Source organism: Homo sapiens, chromosome 1 (genome assembly GCF_000001405.40).
Source record: "Homo sapiens chromosome 1, GRCh38.p14 Primary Assembly".
Taxonomy (NCBI): domain Eukaryota; kingdom Metazoa; phylum Chordata; class Mammalia; order Primates; family Hominidae; genus Homo; species Homo sapiens.
In genome coordinates, this window is record NC_000001.11 from 226,675,128 (window position 1) to 226,698,047 (window position 22,920).

At 47.0% G+C, this 22,920-nt stretch overlaps 1 protein-coding gene across 1 annotated transcript in view, besides 8 other annotated features; it reads right to left on the reverse strand.

Annotated features, from left to right (window-relative positions):
* ITPKB (inositol-trisphosphate 3-kinase B) overlaps nt 1-22,920 on the reverse strand; it is a 107,593-nt gene that overhangs the window by 43,438 nt on the left and 41,235 nt on the right. The gene's annotated exons all lie outside the window — the stretch shown is intronic.
* Nucleotides 923-1,072: a silencer, noted in NCBI's record as "silent region_1886". NCBI's record gives its function as "represses an Ori minimal core promoter by ATAC-STARR-seq in GM12878 lymphoblastoid cells {active_cell/tissue: GM12878}" and the evidence as "EXISTENCE:reporter gene assay evidence [ECO:0000049][PMID:35858748]".
* Nucleotides 4,862-4,911: an enhancer, noted in NCBI's record as "active region_2663". NCBI's record gives its function as "activates an Ori minimal core promoter by ATAC-STARR-seq in GM12878 lymphoblastoid cells {active_cell/tissue: GM12878}" and the evidence as "EXISTENCE:reporter gene assay evidence [ECO:0000049][PMID:35858748]".
* Nucleotides 4,962-5,131: an enhancer, noted in NCBI's record as "active region_2664". NCBI's record gives its function as "activates an Ori minimal core promoter by ATAC-STARR-seq in GM12878 lymphoblastoid cells {active_cell/tissue: GM12878}" and the evidence as "EXISTENCE:reporter gene assay evidence [ECO:0000049][PMID:35858748]".
* Nucleotides 8,109-8,168: an enhancer, noted in NCBI's record as "active region_2665". NCBI's record gives its function as "activates an Ori minimal core promoter by ATAC-STARR-seq in GM12878 lymphoblastoid cells {active_cell/tissue: GM12878}" and the evidence as "EXISTENCE:reporter gene assay evidence [ECO:0000049][PMID:35858748]".
* Nucleotides 9,903-10,404: an enhancer, noted in NCBI's record as "H3K4me1 hESC enhancer chr1:226872731-226873232 (GRCh37/hg19 assembly coordinates)". NCBI's record gives its function as "activates a minimal SCP1, AML or CMV promoter by ChIP-STARR-seq in naive H9 embryonic stem cells {active_cell/tissue: H9 hESC(naive)}" and the evidence as "EXISTENCE:reporter gene assay evidence [ECO:0000049][PMID:30033119]".
* Nucleotides 12,559-12,608: a silencer, noted in NCBI's record as "silent region_1887". NCBI's record gives its function as "represses an Ori minimal core promoter by ATAC-STARR-seq in GM12878 lymphoblastoid cells {active_cell/tissue: GM12878}" and the evidence as "EXISTENCE:reporter gene assay evidence [ECO:0000049][PMID:35858748]".
* Nucleotides 13,471-13,970: an enhancer, noted in NCBI's record as "H3K4me1 hESC enhancer chr1:226876299-226876798 (GRCh37/hg19 assembly coordinates)". NCBI's record gives its function as "activates a minimal SCP1, AML or CMV promoter by ChIP-STARR-seq in naive H9 embryonic stem cells {active_cell/tissue: H9 hESC(naive)}" and the evidence as "EXISTENCE:reporter gene assay evidence [ECO:0000049][PMID:30033119]".
* Nucleotides 22,080-22,129: a silencer, noted in NCBI's record as "silent region_1888". NCBI's record gives its function as "represses an Ori minimal core promoter by ATAC-STARR-seq in GM12878 lymphoblastoid cells {active_cell/tissue: GM12878}" and the evidence as "EXISTENCE:reporter gene assay evidence [ECO:0000049][PMID:35858748]".

Sequence of the window (22,920 nt, forward strand, 5' to 3'; positions counted from 1 at the left end):
AAAAAAAAAAAAAAAAAAAAAAAAAGGAACCAATGAGGTTGTCAGAAGGGGATACTCTGCTGTAACTGGTGTTTACCACGACCCACCGGGTGCTGAGGAGGAAGTGGTTGCTATAACCCCAAGGGGGAAACGCTCGCTTGAAACAGGAAAATAGAACTCTTACAACTTTCCATTAGCAGCGTTCAAGAAGCCGGCCACACTGGGAAACACTTGCACAAGCACTCCCCAGAGTCCTGAGACGAGTGTCAAGACAGTCCAATCACGAAGCACAGATCAGGACACAGATACAGGTCCATGTTTTTTCCAGAACGTCTCAGCACTGGAAAAACTCTCATGATCACTTCCCTTACCTCCAGCAGGCTGAACTTGCAAGGAGCTGTGGGGAGGAGGAAGGAAGGGGAAAATGGCAGGATGACATATTGGAAAGAACGCTGGGCCCAGTGAGGGTCAGAAGACCTGGGCTTTAGTCCCAGTTCTGCGATTTACTAGTGGTGGAACTTTGGGCAAATTACCCAACCTTCCTGCTTCTCGATTTCTACTTCCTCTATAAAACAGGGATATTGTTTACTGCTCTGCTCACATCCTTGGGCTGCTGTGAGAATCCTATGGAATCCTTCATAGGATGAAACTCGTATGTGCTACGCAAATGCTTGTTATCAATGTAAGATTCGAGTCTGCATAAAGCCTTCTTGAGTCCCAGCCTCTTGCTCCTCAAACGCATCCTCTCGGCTACACTTCCACCTGTGCACTTCCTCAACCCACCTTACTTGTAATTCTGCCCACACTTCTGTAGAATTTCTGTAGAAGATCCCATAGTCTGGTCAGAGGAGTATAAGCAAGTCTAAATAACCAAAGTGGGGGGATCTCAACCAAATCATTTGACTCTGGGCTCTGTGCTCCCACATTCTCTCCTCTCCAGAGGTGAAGACTTCATCCTCAATGGCTAATTTGCCTGCTTGGAGGCTCAGATTGGCCCGTGTTCTGAGTCATATTTTCCATTTAGTAAAATGAACATCTGGCTGCTGTATGATGCCTTTTGTGTACCATCACCTAAGCCACAATTACCTGCAAGGTAATTCATACCACTACAGCACGGTGCAAAAACAGGGTTGGTTTGGGATGGTGAAAGTCAGCCATCTTAGTGTCAATCTTGCATGCAAATTCTAATGAAGAAAAGCCACTACCAGCAGGTCCACACACACTCACAAAGAACTCATAAATTATTTTAATCCAAGCGTTCAAAGGGATCCTGGGTCCCAGGAACCATCCTGCTGTTTCATCTCAGTGAGAGGCAAGATGGTTAAGGAAAAACAGCTCTAGTTTCCTCCATCCCCCCAATTCCCCTACCGGTGTGACCTTGACTAGGCCACCCAACCTTCTAAAAACCTTGGCTTCCTCATCTGCAAAATAGGGATAATAACAAGACATGCCCTTCCCGGCTCCCAGGGTTATTATGGCAACCAAGTGAGAAAACAGATGTGAAAGTGCTTTGCAAACCACAAAACACCGTCCAAGTGTGAGGTATTGTTATCTAGCAAAAGTGCCTTGAGAATAACACAGAAATCTGGAAGTATTTTAATTCGTTAATGGACTTATACCACACCTTGACTTAAAAAGGACGTAGGGTAACTGCCTGGAGGAATTCTGAAATAATTTCTAAATAAGTTTATCCAAGCAAGTTGCCAAAACAATCCACTGAATTGGGTAGTAGGCTTTTGGATAATAGGAAAACTGCAGATCGCTGTTCTTTATTCTTATTTCACCTTTTGAGCTCTAAAAAGAACTGGAAGGACCATATTGTGTTGTCTTTTACGCAAGAACTAAACAGTCTCTTTGTACCCTCCACACCCTCCCTATTCTCACTTCCATCCCCTGAGCACCTGGGAAGCAGCTCCTTCTCCAAACCTGCAAACCCTCCTCCCAGAGCCCAGGCTAGCTTGGAAGCCTGGAGCAATTTGAAACGCCGTCCTAAGATCTTGAGGCCAAAGGCATCCCCATCATCCTTCCAAGAGGGTGTTACCCCCAGGGACAGCAGGAGTTTCCAGAACACACAAAGACTTATTCTGCTCACAAGGATATTTACCGAATCAGCCCACAAGAATTTGCCAGGATCAGGGCAGAAGAACAGAGCTGGGACAGCCTTCTGATTCACTGCCTGGCAGATTCACCCTTCTCTATTATTAGCAACCCAGGCACGATGCCACCAGGGCTGGGGAGAGACCTTGGTGTCAGGGTAGAGAAGGCAGGAAGAGGTGTGTGTGCAGAGGGGGAAGTACACAGAGCTGCCTGAGGTTTCCTCCAGAGAGAGACAGCAGAGGGGTGGGTTAAAGCCTTCTCCCCTTCCTCCTTAGTTCTCTAACCTCCTGTGAATCTCAGACAAGCCCAGCCCCAGGATCAGAAGCCCTGGAACCCACATCCACCCTGAATATTGCTGGAGGTACTCCCTCTTCCCCTTAAGGGCCCAGCTCAGAGCTGCACAGCACTGCTTCTGCCGGATACCACTGGACTCTGGGCTGTGCCAGAGGCTGCAAGATGGAGAAGCAAAGAGAAACTGACGGGAAAGGTGGAGAATTTCTCTTCCCATGGCAAAAATGCAACTTACTGCAGCCCTAATGCACATGTGTTCCCTCCTCATAACAATGACTACCACTGAAAGAGCACCCATTACATACATCACAGGGCGTTCGCCTCCTGTTATAGGCAGGAAAACAACCATGTGGAGGCTCAGCAGGCTGCCCTGGAGAACGTGGCTAATGCTGATTGAGAGGGACAGGACTGAAGGAGGAGACGAGGAGCTTCACCTTCATGCATCTTGTATTATTTCACTTGTACAGGTATTTCGCGTGCATTATTTAACGTGCTATATCAAGCTTGTACAGGCATTACTTGAATACATTGAAAACCATGAAACGAAGGAATTAAAAAAAAGAAAGACATGTTGCCAGTCAATAGTAGAGTCTAGATTTGGATAGATTTGTCCAACTCCAGAATATACTCTCTGGCCACACCTCCACAATTTGTCCAAATACCAAACCAGGACATGGACGCTAACAAAGACTATTTTTCTAATGTTATTCATGTGAAGAATTTTACAAAATAACCAATAACCAAATAACATTTGGTTATTAAATATGATAAATGTGGCCTATGGAAAATAAAACGACACAAAATGAAAACTGGCTGCCATGCAAACTTAGGAGAGGGCAAAGGAGCCACAGTGACCCCAGACTTGCTTTCCCTAAAGGGGGAGGAAAATCAAATCCCCTGCAGATGGCTGCAGACCTCAAATAGAGTGCTGCCACTGAGGGCAGAGGCCGAGCCCCTGGAGCAGGCTGATTAGTCTAGTCTAGTGGTTAGGAACATGGTCTCTGGAGCCAGGCTGAGTGTGAATTCTGGCTCTGTTCTTCATAGCTGTGACTTCAGGCAAGCTTATCTGTGCCCCATTGGTTTCCTCACCTGTGAAATGAATTTGGGACACTGTGTAGATTAAAATGTAAAGTGTCTAGCACTAAACACTACCTAAGTGTTCATTATTATTATCATTATCAGTCCTGGCCAGAGAGAAAAAGGGAGAATTATCTATTCCAAAAGGAGCCAGGACTGGGATAAGGCTTTGGTGAGCTTTTTACGTGGTCTTGACAACGGTGTTCATGATAGGCTTATTCTAGGCCGCTCTCTGCTGTCAGGAAGGAGGTTTCCTGTGTGAAGAGAAGGCCTCCCAGGAAGTGACAATAGAGGTATCAATACTCCCAGCAAGAGAACCACAGGCCCAGAGTGGATGTCAGAAAGAGGGGCATCTCAGGGAGCACGCCTCTGCGGAGGGCTACTGATGAGGAAGAGACCACATGGTTGCCTAGAAGGCAGGCCTGCGGGGAAGCACTGACGCCAGCACTCAGGCTAGGGGAGTCCCTGGGGTCAACTTGTGCAGAGACTGGCGCTCATATCCCAAAGAACTGGGTGCCTCTCTAAGATAGAGCTCCCTGCCTCCCAGTATCTCTTCCTGCAGGTGTTTTGTTCCAATGGCTGACAGCGTCTATTCAGAATTCTTAAAAATGTCACTTTGTTTCCATCTGTAAAAAGGAATTAAAATGTACCAAAATTCCAAAGAAAATTGCCCCTTTTCAGATGTGGCTCCCTGTCTCCCCTCTTCCCTTTTCTGCTTTTGATCTTATTTAAAATCTCTGACCTAAAAGTGAACTCTGATATTCCATGCTCCTGGAGTTTTGGGAGGACCCTGACTTCAGAAGCAGAACTCTTTGAGTTCTTCTGGTTCCAGCTCTGCAGCTAATTTGGAAACCCCAAGAAAGTTGTGTCACTTCTGTCTCAGTCCAGAAAGTGGAAAGATTAACCACATAAACTCAAAAATACTATCTGGCTCTGAAATGCTGTGTTCTTGGGATAGTCTCAAAAAAGCTGAGTTGTGGGGACTAACCTAAGTCGATATTCTACCTCCCTTTTGAACTGATGTTGAAAGAAGAAAGACGATAAAAGAAGGTTTTCCTCATCAGTCATTCAAGACTATACTTAAAATTACATTTTGCAGAAATAAAAGCAGTATTTTTAATGTTAGGAAAAAGTCTAAAAGGGTGACTACGGGTGATTTTCATTTCTTTATAGTTTTCTGTATTTATCCAATGATCTGTAATGGACATGTCACAGTTTAAAACTCAACTTAAAGGTTATTGCTCTAAATTCGATTTTGCTGGGGAGAAGGTTAGGAGTCTGGCTTCTGAAAGCGTCCTTTTCACCAGTGAAACTGCCCTCACTCCCAACCCTGCAGCAAACCCGGGAAGAGTTAAAGCGCAGGCCAGGCGGAGAGGGCAGGGAGAAAAGGGAACTGCAAAAAGCCTCAACACCCAGTAGATTTCCTACTGCTGCTGACACTTTGGCCCAGCGTCTGCGCCTCCGACCAGCTTACGGAACCAACCACACCTCGATCCTAACACATCACCTGTGAGAGCAGGGTCAACTCTCCAGCGGCCTCAGATGGCCTCAAACTAAGCTTGGGGAGGGGTTTTCAACCCTGAAAGCCCAGAACTGAGCCTCCAGGCAGCGCAGCGCCCGCGACCACGTGAGCACGGACCCACCTCCCCAGCCTTTCCATGACGTGACTGCTGGGGCGGGGATGGGGCGGGGCACACCCAGCTGCCCAAATCAGCATGACCCCAAAAGAGCAAGCGAGTTCCTGAAATTCCTTGAGGTTTGAAAGACAGCTTAGAGATCCTAAGTCCCTTTTGGCAGAGAGGGGGGAGGTAGGGAAGCCTGAGGGCATCCCAGAACCAGCAGGAGGCACAGAAATGTGTCAGCTCTTTCCCCAAGAGAGGAGGCAATGCTGAATGTGTTAGGTAGGGTCCTTTTCCGGGACCAGCTGGTGAACCGATGTGAAGAGTCGGCTCTAATGATTACTTGTATTAAGTTATCCACGATTCTTATGAAAAAGGAAAGCAAATATCCCACAGTACAAGAAGGAAAGAAAAGGGGGCCCCAGGCTTTTCAGCAAGGGCGTTTGGAAAGAGATGGATATTGATGATAGGGACTTTTCAGAGACCAGGCTCAGCCCAGTTGGGATGCAACTCAGGAAAGTCAGATCGAGGGAACTAAACCAAGGTACTGTTGGCCAAGAGACATTTTAAACGCTTTTTCTCACCAGGATTCATAAAGCCCTTTTGCCTTGAAGCCCATAGGGCACAGGAGAGCTACCCTGTCCCTGGGACAAACGGGAAAATGTTCAGCCCCATCCTGGGTGAATGCAAGACCTCTGCCACCCCCAACACACACACCCTGTGACTACCCTAAGTGGATGTGTTCTTTCACGTTGCTAAGAAAAAGTCCGCAGCTATGAAGTGGTCAGCCTCTGAGGTCCAGTCATTGCCCTGACAAGACTTTGAGATGCATGCTCTCTGAAACTCCCCTCCCCTCACCTGGCAAAAATTATTCATGCCATCCTTGATAGCCTTTCAGCTGAGCGCCTTGGTCAGAAAACTAACCACCTGCCTCTTCTCACCATGTCAAACCCAGTCGTCTGGTGAGAAGACCTAACGTGGGGTGCTTCTCAGTCCACAGACAGTGTTGCTGGTTCCGAGGCCAGATTGTTCCTTTCTTCCTAGCCTGTGAATAACACTCCCACCTAGAACCAGCCCTTTTGCTCTTAAGGGGTTACACTTCATTTCCCTTTGATTTAGCCAGAAAGTTTACCATTGCAGACACCTCCATCTGTAAAATTGGGCAGAGAAGGCAGGGAAAGCAATTAATATGTGTTGAGTGTGTTCTCTGAGCCTACCATTATGCAAGACAGCTTGTGTGTCCATTCTCTAAGTTGGTCTTCACAACCACCCTGGCAAGGGCACAGAGTTGGTAAGTGCAGAAAATTTGATAAATCCAGAGCCCAAATCTAACCCAGGATTTCCCTATGCCAGGCTGCTTTCCTGCAATCGCCTGGGGCATACAGAAAAATACCTATATTGAGGTAAAAGGTTTGATTTAAAAATTAAATATAAACATTTTCTTTTAAAGCCCAATTTGCATATTTTTGCATTGTGCAGATTTGGATCTGTGCTTCATCCTCTCCCACCTGCAACAACATTTAAATGCCTCAGCCTGGGCACTAAAAAAGGGAGCAAATGCAGGTCTACTAGCTGGCCATGTTTTTGGCAACCCTGCAAAACAAAATTTCCAACTCTCCAGATGATACCCCTGCCTCCTCCAAAACAAATGCCTGTACTCCAGCATCTGTCACTCAGGAGTCCAAGCTGGGAGTTCAGACGCTGCTTATAAGCTCATAGGCTGAATGAGGGCATTACATAAAAAGGCTCAGAGCTATGTGGAAGCAGTGTAGAAGCAATGTCAGCAGTCCACCTAAAGGCCTGGCTGAAGAATTTCTCAGCCTCCTAAAGGATCCCCAGGCAGCTGCCACCATCTCATCTCCAGTAGTCAAAGGACCACCACTAGCTGAAGGCTGGGAGGGCAATGCAGTGGTCCTTGACCTTGGCTGCACATCAGTTATCACCTGGGAGTTTTACAACCATTGTTGCCTGGGTCCCCCCCCGCCCCGAGATTCTGGCTTAGTTGGTGTGGAGTGTAGTCTAGCACAGGGATTTATTTGTTAAGCTCCCACATGTTTCCAAAGTGCAGTCTTGGCAAGAACCACTGGACACCATTGGTCAAAGTGGCCCAAAAGAGCTAGGAAAATATAAATAACATTCAGCAGGTCATTCAGGGTTCTTGAGAACAGAGAATGACCGAAGGGACTTCTGTGTACTGGCAGTGCAAGGCAAGGTAGCAACATAGAGCAAAGGGTTTGGAGCAAAGCAAGCAGAAATTTGAGTCCTAGCTCCAGCATTTTGCCCACCATGTGACCTGGGTAAAGCCACTCATTCATTCTGAGCCTTAGTTTCCTCACCTGTAAAATGAGGCTGCTTCCCTTGCTGGACTGTGCTAGGAATTAGCTGCACTAGGGCATTGCCTGGCACATACAAGGTCTTCCATAAGTGACACTTATGATTGTTAATAAACAAATTACACCTGGGATTGACTGGTGTTTGGTATGAAGAGAGGCTGTGGGCTGACAGTACCCTTCAGAGGGGACCCCTTTAGTGAATGAGATTCAGACTTCCTTGGGGAGGAGCTGTGGAAGATAAAAGAAGCTGAAAGTGGTATAGGAGACAGGCAGGGCAGCCACTCCAGCATCTGGGGCACCTCCAGCCTTTGTTCTCCATCTCTAGTCCCTTTTTCTCTGCAAGTTGAGCCTCAGGAGGAGGTGTATATTTACAGGGAGAGTCTAGCTGTATTTGGCCACGTTCTACCTACCAAAGTGGGTAGCAATCAGACTGGATTGTGTCACCCTGGATTGTGTCATCCGAAGCAGCTCTGCCCAAGACAGGTCTGTCTGCCCACAGACTCACACCTGCCTTTTCCCTCCTACTTTACACCATGATGCTCTGAGGGAAGCCAGGCCCTAGAGGGGCAGCCAGCACTGCAACCTGTCACTGTGCTGTCCACGCTTGCATAAACCTGGGTGGAAGACACAGACCCTGGGAATGTGTGACAACTGTCCCAAGGCAGAGAGGGCTGGGGAATCCCAACTCTGCAACACCTCCCCCTTCGTGCTTTGAGCAGCCCAGCATAAAGGAACCCACTGCCTACATGATTCTTTCTCCTTTTCCTTTTCTCTCCTTTCTCCCCTAACACCTGTAGAGTTGATGGAGCTCTTTCTCATCCATTATTTCTTATGATGTTCAAAACAGCCCTGTGAGGCAGCTGACTGCAGGAACTAAGATGACCTGGATTCATCGGTAAGAAAACAGAGGCTCAGGCAGATGCCATGACTTGCTCCCAGTCACAGAACTCATCAGAAACAGGATTTGAACCCATGTATATGTACCAAGAACCCATTCTTCTCCACCATGCTATGCCCCATGACCGCCTACCCATGTCAAAGGCCCTCCTGCTTGCTGTGTAGTATAAGACATCTGTGAAGTGGAGACGGTGGCGGGGGAAGGGGAGTGTAGACATGCAACTAATCTAAGCTCTAGCTGAACTCAGAGTCCCCCCGACTTGATGCTCCATTCTAAAACTGAGTTTGAGCAACACATCATTCCCTCTTTTCTATGCCTCTCTCCTTTCTTCATCTGAGAAAATGGCAAAGCCAGCTACCCAAGGACAGGCTGGAGGAGGACTCAAAATCAACCACCAAACATCTTACAACATCTGTGCCTCAGAACACAGCTTTCATCTTACCAAACTTCACTTTAAAGAAATGAAGGTACCACAAGGTACCTTCATTACAAAGAGATTTTGTTCAATTGCTGGGCCAAAGTGGGAAATATTAAATTCCAGTCAAAGAAGGTATGGATATCCTGCTAATTCCCTGAGGCATGTTCCATACTGACAAACCATCTGACTTTCTGAGTGTCAGGGAAATTTCCAATCCAAAGAGTAAATGAACTTCCGTGAGTAGAAAAATAGCCTCTTCACAGCACCCGATTCTCTCCCACCAAGAATTCTCTCTCACCTTTCGCATGCAGTACTGACGTTGGGGCCATTAGGAACAAAACGAAGGGGAAGGAAATGGCACCAGTCCAGGTGTTACCAGACGGATATGTGAAAGCAAGTGTAGAATCACCCCCAAGAAACTCAAAGTAGGAGAAGCACTTGCTCATCTGTTACCAGATACTCACTGTCCAGCTGGCCAGCCTAGTGCATGCTTCCAGAAGGAGACCAGCACCAGCCAGGGAGCAGAGCAGTCAACCTGTGCACCCCACCATCCTCCCTCGAAAGCCTGCATGGAAGGCCTGCATTTGGATTCACAGAGCAGCCATTCTTTCAATGAGCATAGCAGAGCAGGATAGAGCAACACTTTTTTTTTCTTTAACCAGGGAAGGGGACCCACAGAGGCAGTACATACAAACCTGAAATCAGACTTGTTCTAGAACTGGGGTCTCTTAAAAGCCCTTCTTCTCAGGCACAGGGTCCTTTCCACAATAGAGAACACTGGTGAACCAGCTCTGGGAAAGGTCAGCTACCGAAATGCAGATGATTGCATGCAAAGATCTCAGGCCTTGTGCTTTTCAAATGATATCCTCATATGTTCTTTCATTTGCTCTGCATGGAGACTCCAGAAGGTTAAGCAGTCACTCATATATAACTTACAGGTAACAAAACCCAAGTACAGAGGGCCCCAAAGACGTCCCTAGAGGCACACAGGTGGGACCAGAGTCCAGATCTGCCAAGGCCACTGAGCTGCTCTGCCCATCATGGAGGGCCCCTGCCTGCCTCCAGCGCTCCACCGTTCACACCCCTGGGTCAACATTCCCAGGGTGGCAGATGCTGAACCCACAATCAGCCAACTCACAGGTCCTACATGGGGAGAGTGGAATGGGGTCAGGAAAAACCATTGCTTTCCTTTTCCCTTTGAATGCCTGAGTAGACATTTAAGCCAAGCTGGGGAATGAAGGAGTTGGCCTCTGCCCCAAGAGGGAAACAGCCCTTCAACGGGAACAACACAGTAAGAGATTCATCCAAGAGTCCCTGTCTTCAGAGCTACCTCCCTACACCTCCATCTGCGGACGCCCCTTTCAAAACTCAACCTGTCCTCTTGCCATCCACAGGATGTTTTAATTTCCTTAGAATGTGGCACTTCAAAATTCAGCTCGTGCTGAGCTCAGTGTTCAGCACCCTGGCTCCACGCATGCCCGCTCTGCCCCACCCCTGCCCCTAAGTCCTGGCGACATTGACCCACTCACCATTTCCCGGTCCCGCCACATTCTCTCGGGTTTCCTGGCCATTGCTCACGTGGACCTTCAACTTGGAATCATCTTTCCCTCCCTGTCCAGCCACTGAAGTCCAACTCAACAGTAAAGATGTTATTGACTGTCCCCTCTCCCACAGAGCCTCCACAGATGAGCTCTGGGCCTCCCAGCAGGCTCCAGGGCAGTAGCTGTTCTTCCCTGTCTGCACCCACACGGCATGACCCTGCCCTCACAGGCCTCCCTGCAGCCTCTACCCAACGACTCTGTGATCTGACTGCATGTCTCTGTGACCAGTGACACCTCCACGTCCTCAAGGGCAGGCACCAGGGCTTGCTGGGCTGGAATGTTCAGCATGTAACAGGTGTTTAGTTCATTGTTTATAAAATGGACACATGAGTTAACTAATTAAAAGCTCCACAACATTGTACAAGGAAAAAAAATTCCACTTTCTCATCCATGAAGCTCTGGAGCTGGGGAAATGAAGCGGCTGGCTGCTGGGTGCCGCGGTGAGCTGTGGGGCAGCACGAGGAAGGTTCTGAGCCAATGAATGTGATGCAAGACAAGAAACTGAGGATGGGGGAGGAAACGAGAAAGAGTGAGGGAGAAGAGGAGGGGGATGATGAAGATTCCAACCTGAGACATTATTGCAGAAAGCAACCCCAGGTTAACAAGGCAAGTTGCTAAAGGAAAGGGAATGGCAGATAAAGCGACCCCCCGCCCTAAAAGGCTTACCAGGGCACTTCAGCAGAACCCAAGGGAAAGCCATGTGGGCCAGCAGGCTTCCGAACCAGTTCTGTCTGCTCTAATGAGGCCATGGGGGTGGATGGGCAGGGGGCAAATCACAGAAGCATCTGCTCTTGAATCAACAGTGAGGCTCTGGCTGGCTGAAGAATGTCTCCAACTCCCTAGTCACCCAGTGGGCCTAATTTCATTCCTGGACATGTCTAGTATAGATTGAAAGGGAAGCCATAGTCAGTTTCAAAAAGAAGTGGAAAAGTTCCCTGGGGTTCACTGAGATACCATTATTAGATTGGGGTTCCCAGGAGCATTTCTTGTTAAGTGTCAAGTCCAGAGTTTGACCTTTGGGGAAATGGGGGAAATTCAAAAGGATCAAAGCCCCCAAACTCCCTTTAGCTCAGTGGGAAAAACCCAAAGCTCCTGCCCTGCCTCTGTGCATCCTCTGGGGCCCTGAAACTGCGTCAGCGTGCGGTGTAACGTGCCCTCCATCCCAGCACAGACATAACACAACGTAAAACTCATTAAAGACCAGAGGACTCTGTACCTATCTGGCACTAAAAGGAGATCTCCTGCCACATGTCTCCCATCTGGATTCTTTCATGAAAGATCATGTGTAGCTGTGCACAATGTCGAAAAAGGACATCCCAAAGGGTTTAGGTGTGTGTCCGTTTTTCCTAAGGCTTGTCCTGGGGTGCCAAGTGTGCACATGCCACTGTGCCCTGGGGGCCACATATGGCTGACTTATCTGGCAATGGGAGGGGACAGAGCAGAACTGGAGGTAGAGAAAAACGTGCAGGGAGAGTGAGTTATTGCCAAGAGGATTTGACTGTGCTGTGACAACAGAAGTCCCCTGGGTCTTCAAGCCTCAGGCTGGGATGCTATAATCTGGAACCTCCAGGGAGTAACATCACCAGGTGCTGGCAGGGACTAACGTCCTGCCTCACTGATGTGGCACAAGTCATTTGCTGCCTTGGGTCTCTAGTACTGTATATTTGTAGTCAGTGAGCAAAAAGGAATATTTAAAAAAGGAATCTTTCTATAGCGTCATTTACACTTGGGCCAAAATAAGATCAGAGTGGAACAAAATAAAATCTGGTCAAGAAGAGAAGGCAGAAATAGTGCAGAATGCTGCCAAATATTTCCACCATGAGATATAGAACCGTAAGTTATTCATAAGAGAGCTCTTCAGAGTCATGAGTCTATGGCTTCCATCCTCGGGATGAAAACAAAAATCTCACCCACTGTCCACAGTGAAACAACCAAAAGTGGGCCTTAAAGGGGAACACTAGGGTTTGGAGTCTTCTGTGCCATCTGCCCTCCCACATCACACCCTGATCCCTTGTTTCCAGCCTCCAGCTCAGAGGCCAACATAGGAACAGCCTCTACCCTCTGTCCCTGGAACAGCTTTTTCCACTGAGACCAAGGGTGCTGCCCGCTGTAAAGGAACATGAATGAGCTCAGAAACCACATCTGCTTTTGCACTTGTCAACTTGAGGCTGGCAAAACTGAGGGGTTCCATGAAACTGCAGCCCCAGCAGTTCCAGCACTGTAGGGAGCACTTACCTAGAGACACAGTGCCCTCCTGCCCTCCTGTGGCCTTGCTTGGCACAGAGGGGCCACACAGATACCAACTGTGGGAAGGATCTCTAGCTGGGCAGCATCGCCATTGCTCCTCATTGTCCAGGGGCCTTTTGTGTGTGGCTCTCTACTCAAGACCATAGGGATGGAGGTAAAAAGATTAAAAAGATACTGCTTCCGAGTTTCCTCAAGGAGCTCACCAACTTCCCCAGGTGTCTGGGGAGGAGGAAAGAGCAGCTCCTACAACCTCAAGAGTCTTTGCCAGGACCAGCCAAGGGAGTGTCTGTAACAACTATTTTTAAAAAGAAACCAGGATAAAGCTCCCAATTGCCCTACGTTTTCCTTAGGAGAAATACACCCAAAGTAGAAGCCATACCAAGTCTCAGGCCCAAGCCTCTGGCAAGAAAAAACAAATGGGCTTAGCACTTCTGATAGGGTTCACACTTCTGATAGGGTTCAGCAATGATTAAGCCCCTATGAAATGGCAAATAGTGACATTATCATACAAGAGATCCCTGCAGCCCTGGAGGGTTCCAGAAAAGAGCATAGCCTTTTAAACTGCAGCTGCCTATATATGGCAGGTACCATGCTGGCACTGGAAATGCAAAGACGAATTAGACAACATCCCTTGGGGAGCTGTTTTGCAGAGCTGTTCCGGGAAACTCAGAATGTAACCACCCCCACTCCTGACCGCCCCCCATCAGGATTGTCTCGTGTGTTCAGGGTCCCACAGAACCCAAGCCAAGAGTCACCCCCACTCTGTATCTTTGGCATTAGATAGTAATGAGGGCCAAGAGGAGAGGACAGAAAAGGAGGTCTTCCATCTGCAAAGCAACTCTTGACAGCAGCAGCCCAGCTGCTCGGGGCCACTGCCCAAAATGCTAATGAAGCCAGTCACAATTAGCAGGCTACTCAGGGGCTGCCCAGACCACAGAGCTGCTGCCACAGTCAGCTGTGCCAGAGCAGCCTGCCGGGTCCCAGGCAGAGCTTTTATGCTAGCACTTTCTCCTTCCCCTTTCACCTGGCATTTGGAATCCACCAACAATCTTTGTACCCTTCTCTCTGCCTGACCCACAAAACCACCCAAGGACGCTGGTATGACTCTCACTGATAAAGTCAAAGACAGATGGGTAGGGATAGGGATGGGAATTGGGAGAAGGGTCCAGAAAAAATGATTTGGACTCTTTTTGCTCCCATTACCAACCACTCCATTTTCCCCCCCAACAAACAAGTGCTTCCCCACTTTACTGACATCTGGATTCCACTGGCTAGTTCCACTAGCTTGGGAGCAAGTTTGCTCTCCGACCTCTTTAGAGTATTCAGCAGATGGTGATCAACACAGCCCTCTCCAAGGAGAGACGTTTAGCTTTATGAAAATTCCTAAAGAAAGCCACTGGGATATGTTTTCGTGCCAAGACATCTGACAACTGGCCTATTTTTAAAGTTCCAACCAATAATCTCTCAAAAGCACTCTACCCACAGACAAAGGGGCAATGACGAAAAAAGTAATGAGGCCAGTATTATGTTTTTGTTTTTCAAACAATCCAGAATTTACCCATCCAAATAAATAATATTCTCTTCAAAGCCTACCCCCTTAGAAAGCTCTGTGCTGATTCCACTGGGGCTGTGTTTTCTCAGAACATTTTTGGAAAGTCCTATTGTGGAGCAGCCTTTGTTTCCCAGAGAGTGTCCAGGATAAAGTTAATAAGCATCCAACCAGCAGCCGCTGCTGCGGGCCAGGTACTGTGGTAGGCCCAGGGAAGGGGAATCCTATAGGTAAATACAACAAGGTGTCTCCCTGGCAAGATGCTCACTATCCGGGTGGAGAAAGGAGGAGAAGGTTTTTGTGGGTTTTTTTCCTTTGTCGGAAGGTTTTATTTGTGTGTGTGTGTGTGTGTGTGTGTGTGTGTGTGTGTGTGTGTGCATGCATATGTGTTTGTGTACTTTTAAGTTCAGAGGTACATGTACAGGTCACATAGGTAAACTTTTGTCATGGGGGTTTGTTTTACAGATTATTTCATCACCCATGTATTAAGCCTAGTACCCATTAGTTATTTCCCCTGATCCTCTCTCTCCTCCTACCCTCTACCCTTCAAAAGGCCCCAGTATCTGTTGTTCCCCTCTATGTGTCCATGTGTTCTCATCATTTAGCTCCCACTTATAATAACATGCAGTATTTGGTTTTCGGTTCCTGTGTTGGTTTGCTGAGGAGAATGGCCTCCAGCTCCAACCATGTTCCTGCAAAGGACATGATCTCATTCCTTTCTATGGCTGCGTAGTGTTCAATGGTGTATATGTACCACATTTTCTTTATCCAGTCTACCACTGATGGGCATTTGGGTTGATTCCATGTCTTTGCCATTATGGAACAGTGCTGCAATGAACATAAACATGCATGTGTCTTTATAATAAAATGATTTATATTCTTTTGGGTATATACCCAGTAGTGAGATTGCTGGATTGAATGGTATTTCTGTCTTTAGGTCTTTGAGGAATCGCCACAGTCTTCCATAGTGGTTGAACTAATTTACACTCACACCAACAGTGTATAAGCGTTTCTTTAAGGAAGAGAAGGTGTTTTGAATACATACCATCAGCCAGGCACCGGGCAACAGCTTTTGACATGTTACATTTAATATGGATCCCAAAATCCTCTTAGATGTAGACAACCAGGCTCAGAAAAGTTAAAGTGACCTAGCCAAAGTCACACAACAAAGAAATTCTGAGACTGGTCCTGATCTGGGGCTGTCAGGCTCCCAAACTGGTCCTCTCATCCCCACAGCAGCCTGCAGTAAACACACTCTCCAGGACAGGAGGCTGAGGCAGGATAACTCACTCCTCCTACGTCAAGCACTCACCTCCTGTTTACCCTTTCATCAAGAGGCTCTGACAAGCCAGTGGGCAGGGAGAGTTTCTTCAGATATAAAACAGGACTTTTCATAACCCTAGTATTTACGTCAACTGAGAAGGACAGACACTCAGACACAGTCGCACACACTTCACTCACACACAGGACCGTCAATTCAACGTGTCCACCTACCTCACAAGCAGGCAGGGAAATCAGGCCTGCATCTCAACACGTCAAAACTAGTTTCCTGCAATAGCCAAAAGGTGGAAGCAAGCCAAGTGCCATCGGCAGATGACTGGATAAACAAAATGTGATATAGACACACAATGGATTATCATTCAGCCTTAAAAGGGAAGGAAATTCTGACACATGCTACAACAGGGATGACCCTTGAGCACATTATGCTCCATGAAATAAGCCAGACACAAAAGGACAAACGCTGTATGACTCCACTTATCCCAAGTACCGAAAATAGGCAAATTCACAAAGACAGAAAAGTAGATTAATGGTTGTAGGGGCCTAGGAGAGAGGGGAGAGGGATTATTTAATGGGTAGTTTCAGTTTGAGAAAATGAAAAAGTTCTAGAGATGGATGGTGGTGATGGCTGCGTGACAGTGTGAATGGATGTAATGCCACTAAACTGTGCACTTAAAATGGTTAAAATGGTGAATTTTATGTTATGTACACTTTGCCACATTTAAAAAAAAAAAAACCTCTGTTTTTTCTCTTTGGAAATATGGATGTATAATCTCTTCCTCAAACAAACTCTGGGCACATGCATATGACCAGTGTCTTCTATTCTCTTCCCAGCCTCAGCCCATGAGGCTTCAGATGACAGAGGCAGGAGCCGTGCTGGGGTGGGGCCTGGCTGGGGGGACTCTGCATGCACAGTAAGCAAGCATTCTAAAATCGGCCCCAGAAAATCCCCCAAATGCAGCACAGAACGCCTTAGACTGGCCTGAGTCAACAGCAGGAAGGGGAGGGCCCACAATGAGCAGCCGCATCCCCTCCCCTGAAATTTGCAAAACAGTATTTTGGCTGGTGCATTTGGCCCAATATAGAGCAGAGCAAAACATTTTTATGGAGGAACAATGAAAAGAGACTGCTAGTCCTAAGACTGAGGTCTTTAGGAAAACTTCATTCTCTGACCCATTTCAACTTTCCCTAATAAATAACAATGCTGTAATGCCAAGCAGTCTATCATGCCACCTTAGCAGCTGTGCTCTGCTCCCAAATGTTCTGTTTATGTCTCCCCATCATGTCATTGTGATGGATTCAATTTTAAACTACCCCAAGCTAATAGCAAATCCCCCAGAGCTCTGGAAGCAGCTCTGTGTTGCGTGGGCCCTGATCATGAAGGTGGATTCAGTGGTCACCCAGGGCCCACCTGGAGTCTGTAGCACTCTTTTTCCTCTGGGCTCCCAGGTACCTGCTGAACCCCAAATGGGTGCCTACAAAGGTCCAGTGAGGAAAAGTTAAGAGCCCCAGAAAAAACAAAGATAAAACGCCTGGGAGGGAATCAGTATTTATCAAGGGCCTACTACATGCAAGAGCCTTCAAAACCCTGTAACTTTCAAGTTTTATACATGAGGAAATGGAAGAAATTCAGCAATATGTCCAAGGAGCAGAGCTAGGATTCAACTCTAAGTCATCTGACTCTAAAGCTTACACTCTTTCCATTACACTAGGCTGCCTCTCAAAATCATGTGGGTTTTTTTTTTCCCCTGGTTCTTGTTTTTTATAATCCTGCTTGCCTGGCTTCTAAACTTCTCCAGCTTTTCCATAGGCCCTAGCCCAACCCAACTTTCCATTTGGGTAAAAGGAAGATCATCCCAGCTGCTGTGTCCCAAGTCACATGAAATGGCGGGAAGACATTTCATAAACACAAGTTCAAAAGCCCCTTTAAATAGATAGGAAAGTGGAAATTATTTTTAAGGGGGTAAACTTCTAAAGAAAGCATTCCCATTCTGCAGCCCTGGACTTCTTAACATAAACCACCAGGTCCAATTCTCACCCTACACTGCCACAGAACAGCTGACGCTAAACTTGGGCTCCAAAGCCTCTGTCTTCCTCCAGAGAGCCTGGCAGTCTGTGTAATAAGTGTGCTGGCTATTTCTGAGCCGGCCACTAAAAGGGAAAGCCACCCCCAAATCACCACTCAGCTTAGTCCCAAGAATGAGAGCTGAAGGTAGCATGTCACGCAGGGGATTTATTCTTCAAATGTAGAATTGTTAGTGCTCAAAATATAAATACTCAGGTTTGAAGAACATACCAACTTCTTTAAAAAAAGAAAAGGGTAAAAAACTCCCCCATGCAACTGTGAATATACTCTCATTTCTCCTCCTCCTCCTTTCCTGACAAGAGCCAACAATCAGCAGACAACAAAATCTCAACATCTGGCTCCTAAGTCCACAGCTTTCAGCTTTTTCCTGGGCCTGGGAACTTTTGCCTCAAACAAATCCCTGATGAGCTGCTTCAAGTGTGATGGTAATAAGGTTCGGCTGCTCAGGGAGCAAGGCAGGCATGTGAGCCGTGGCTTGGGTGCTCTGTCCTCCAGGGTGGTCCAGAAGCCCTTGAAGGTAGCACATTACAAGAGCCACTTCTGGTCAACTTCGGTGAGCAGACAGCACCCAGCTCTGCTTTCTCAGGAGCAGGACTGCAGTTTCTGTTGGGAATAGTGACAGCCAAAAACTCAGAAGCAGAACACACAAGACACTGAGCTGAGATCTCTTCGGGCTTCTGGAAGCAGTCAGACCCTCCACCATGCCCTTCCTTTCCCTAGCTGGTCTAAACTGCTGTCGAGCGATGATGGGCAGCTCTTTGCACACAGATATTAGGAAAACCCCTGCCTAAGAGTCACTGCTTTAGAATTTAATTTCTAGACTTTAGAACCACTTCCTACTGGGTCCGTAGAGATCACTGCCTGTCCCCCTACTGACATGTTTTATTGTAAGCAATCTAATTTATGGTGTGCTCAGTATATTCTTCATATACCCAGACACATACAACTGAAAACAAAAGTTTCACACAACAGTACTTACCATTGCTTTGTGCAATGAATGCTGTTATTTTCTATTCTACTCTATCATATTCTATTTTATTAAAATCTATTGGTTGTAACCATCTAAATTGATCCCCATTTGAAGATCACAATCTGTAGTTTTAAAACTGCTGTGGTCATAGGAGCCAGTCCCACGTTTTTGAATTAAAGGCCTGTGCTGACACCATGGGTCAGAGGGAAGGTGATTTGTACCTTATTCCCCTTTCCTGGATAACTCAAGTTTACTCAAAAAGCTCCACATCAACACTTTTAAAAGAGAATTCAAATGATCCATGCGGCCCTACCCACAATGGGTTCTCACAGCACACCTTGTCTTCAAGGATAGCTCTGAAAGAACTCAACTCTGCATTCACAGAACCATTGCTAATAACCTTTAAGAGGTGTCAGAGGACTAAAGATGGGTAACTATTTGCCTAACATTTTGCCAAATTGGATTCTGGAAGCTTCAGACTGGCAAACATAGGGCTGGATTACCTAACAAGTGATTTGTGAGCATTTACAGGGAAAGATAGAAATCACTAAAAATATACATGTGTTCATTAAGAAAAAGTTTCAACAAACCAATCTCATTTCTTCTTTTGATGCAGGATACAAAATCAGGAAGAATGCCATAAAGAATGTGTTCAGATTTCACCAAGGTGCATGAAAAGACAGAAAAAGAAAAATCTGTGTCAAAGTATGGTTGAACAGTTTTGAAGCTGTTAGAACAACTATACCCCTAGAGGCTACTGATAACAGACCCTTAAGAACATTGGAAATTGCTTTTATTAGGACCCTAGAAGGTTCTTTTCTGAGACTGATCCTAGTCAACCTTTCTATCTATGACTTCTTTAATTAGTGACAGCAACATTACCAATTGGTATGGCGTGTCCTCAATAACAACTGATCAACTGATGAACTGGGTACCCACAGAGCACTTTGCAGTTTTATCAGGTACTTTTACACATCTTATCTCATTTGAGCCTCCAAGTCAAGGAGCTAGGTATTATTATATTCATTTCATAGTAAAGAAACTCAGGCTTAGCCATCAGTGTTTCTCAACCTCAGCAATATGAACATTTTGAACTGGGTAATTCTCTGCTGTCCTGTGCACTGGAGGATGTCGGCAGCATCCTGGCCTCTACCCACTATGTGCCAGGAGCAGTACCACCCTTACAGTTGTGACAACCAAAAATGTCTCCAGACATTGTCAAACATCCCCTAATGGCCAAAATCACTCCTGTTGAAAACCACTGGGTAAATCAAACTTTGATCTGGCTTGATCAAGGTCCACAGTTAAAAAGTTAACCAGGGCAGTATTTGAATTTAGGTCTCCTCATTCTTCCAACTCTTTCAAAAAGCTGGAAGGTATTGGGCACCGTGGCTCACGCCTGTAATCCCAGCACTCTGGGAAGCCAAGGTGGGTGGATCACCTGGGGTCAGGAGTTTGAGACCAGCCTGGGCAACATGGTGAAACCCCATCTCCACCAAAAATACAAAAATTAGCCGGGTGTGGTGATGCACGCCTGTAGTCTCAGCTACTCAGAAGGCTGAGGCAAGAGAATTGCTTGAACCCGGGAGGCGGAGGTTGTAGTGAGCTGAGATTGTGCCACTGCACTCCAGCCTGGGAGACAGAGGGAGACTCTGTCTCAATAAATAAGTAAATAAATAAATAAATAAATGAAAGCTGGGAGGGATAATGAACAGGATAAATTACAAAAATCAAGAGTCAAAATTATCTTGATTGACATTCTAGGCCAAAACCAATAATAAAAGACTGAAGGTCCATATTTTGGTTTTAAATAAATCAATTGTGCAAAGTGAGACTGGCACTCATGGCATTTTATGGCAGTTAATGTATGGAAGGTTGGCAAAGGGGGTTGGTTAACCTTCAGCCCAGAGACTGGCAGTCCTGCATGACTCCACAGATGCCAACATAATCTTGGCTGCACTGACAGGGCAAGCAGTCCAGGCATCTCTCACACTCCCACCCAGGCCAGCTGCCCGAGCATTGAACCCCGCCATCCTCTCTCTCTTCTCACACCTGCCGCAGACCTGACACTACCTGTGGGGCCTCCCCCTCCCCTACAGAACGTGGCTCTGCTCCATCCTCACTCTGTCCTCTGGCAGCCGCAGCAAGAGTCGGTGTGCAGCAGAATTGGAAGACAGATGGCAAGAGGGAAGAGAAGAAGGACAGGAGGGAGAGGACACGGGGGAGAAGACAAGAAGGGAAGTGGAGAAATTATGGCAGGGCCCACAATGTCACTGTGAGCCCCCCAAACCCAGGGGGCAAGACAGTAAGATGAGGGAAGAGAGGGAAGCGGGGAGGAGGGGGAGGAAACGGATGCAAGGCCAGCAAAGGGAAGAGGATAAGAAAAAGGCAGAGCAGAGGGAAAAGACTAATTACTCCCAGCCCTCCAATATTCACTTACATGCTATGCTGCTTCTTCTTCCATTCAGTTCCTTCCTGCTACTTGCCCGGGGCACCCAGCTTGGCCCATTACCCACCCATTAATGCCCCTACCTGGGAATCTCTGGAATTCACTATGCTGGATTAAAACCCTGGCTCTACTAGTCACTAGCTGGGTGAATTTAGACCAATTACTTAATCTCACTAAGCCTTAGTTTCCACATCTGTGAAATGGGGATAATAATATCTATCTCATAGTTTTGGTATGGGATTAAGTGAGACTTAATTTGAAATATATACACACATATATATACACATATATAGATCTACGTGTGTGTGTGTGTGTGTGTGTATATGTATCTCTCTCTCAACACAGATGCTTGGCCCATAAAAGGTGCTCCCTGGTAGCTAGTTTTAGTTATAATGTACATCCCTGGCACGTAGATAGCAACTTATTTTACTATCTTGGACACCGGCTTCCACTTCCGACAAGGCCAAAACTTAGAGACGAAATGGCACATGCCCGGCCCCTGTATTTTCTACTGTTTTCTGAGAACATAATTTCTAGTTGGAGTATTAATTACTAGCTTGGAGCATTACTAGCTGCTGCTATTTCTCAGGGTCCCCTTGGAGACCAAGCAACCGCTAAGATGGCTGGCTTTCTCCATAGAACTCACAGCTAGCACCAGCAATGAGGAAATACGCACACGCGCACACACACACACGCAGTCTTTACATCTGGTTAGGGCTCCAAGTATTTCCTAAGTGTCTCATCACACTTACTAAGGCCTGAGAATCTCAGAGCTGAGACACTGCAGAGGTGATGTAGCCCAAGCCATCCCCTGAGGCCTGAGTGTCCTCTGCAGCACCCGACTAGGGGCCGGGGGGTTAGCACAACCTGTCCCCATTCCCAGGAAAAAACCCAGCACACAGCTCACACTCAATGATGTCAGCTTCCTACAGGAAGGACAGGTACAGCATCACTAATTAAAAAGAGGTCACAACCACGAAGTTCATTCATCCAGGCCTCTTGGGAACAAATCATATCAACAACCACCAAACAAATGGATTCATGTTAATTTGGAGGTATTCTTATCTGAGAGCAATAGAATATAGTTCACCAAAGCAGAAACCTGGGCAAGCGTCAACTAAATGTTGGTGGGTCCAGGAAGAAATCCACTGATTCAGGCTAGGTGCCTGTCACAACTTGGTTAGCCTTTCTGAACCTGTTTCCTTGTCTGAAAGATGAAAGTAGCAATAGTTGCTGTGAGGCGTGATTAAGGCATGATGCATTCAGAGGCATAGTACAGTGTCTGGCAAAGATTCAAGAAACTTTAGACTCTTTCCCCTTTCTGCACCAATAAGCAAATCTGAAAAGATCATGAATACACAGTGCTGCAAAATGAGAAACAGAATTTCCCCCTTTAGACAAGAGAGCACTGTGATGCAGACACAGCCCTGGCATCAGCAAGGAAGGCCCTGGTTCCCCTTCTCATCATCCCTGGAGAGATGGGTGTCAGAGGTCAGGTGAGGGAATCTCTTTGTGCGTGATTCTCCAACTCTGCAAACAATAGCTGGCCATTTCTTCTGAGGAATAAGCTGAAATCAAACATACCTGATAGGCGAACTGGGCTTGATGCAGTCCCAAGCACTCTGCTGAGCACTGAAGCCACTTTTCCTCACCACAACTATGGGAGCTAGAGAAGGGAGGCGATTAGTGGTGAAGACAGTGGGGACCTGCCCCAGGTGGCATTAGTGAAATAGACAATTCTCTAGGGTCCTCTGCACCAACCCAGAACTCTCCACATAAGAGCTGCCCTAGGAACACCACAGTTCTGTGGCCTGCCCTGGCAGATGTGCCCTCACATCTGGGTGATAAGGGGTCCCCAAGAGGAGCCAAACCCCCTGGGGGCAGCCCGGTCACAGCCACAACTGGCTGCCCACAGGCTGGGAGCCACTCAACTCAGAGGCAGAGTCCTATGCACTGCACTCTCCAGACAGATGGAAGGACACTCCCCCCGGGGCAGAACAGCACTGTAGACTGAAGGACAGCTTTGAA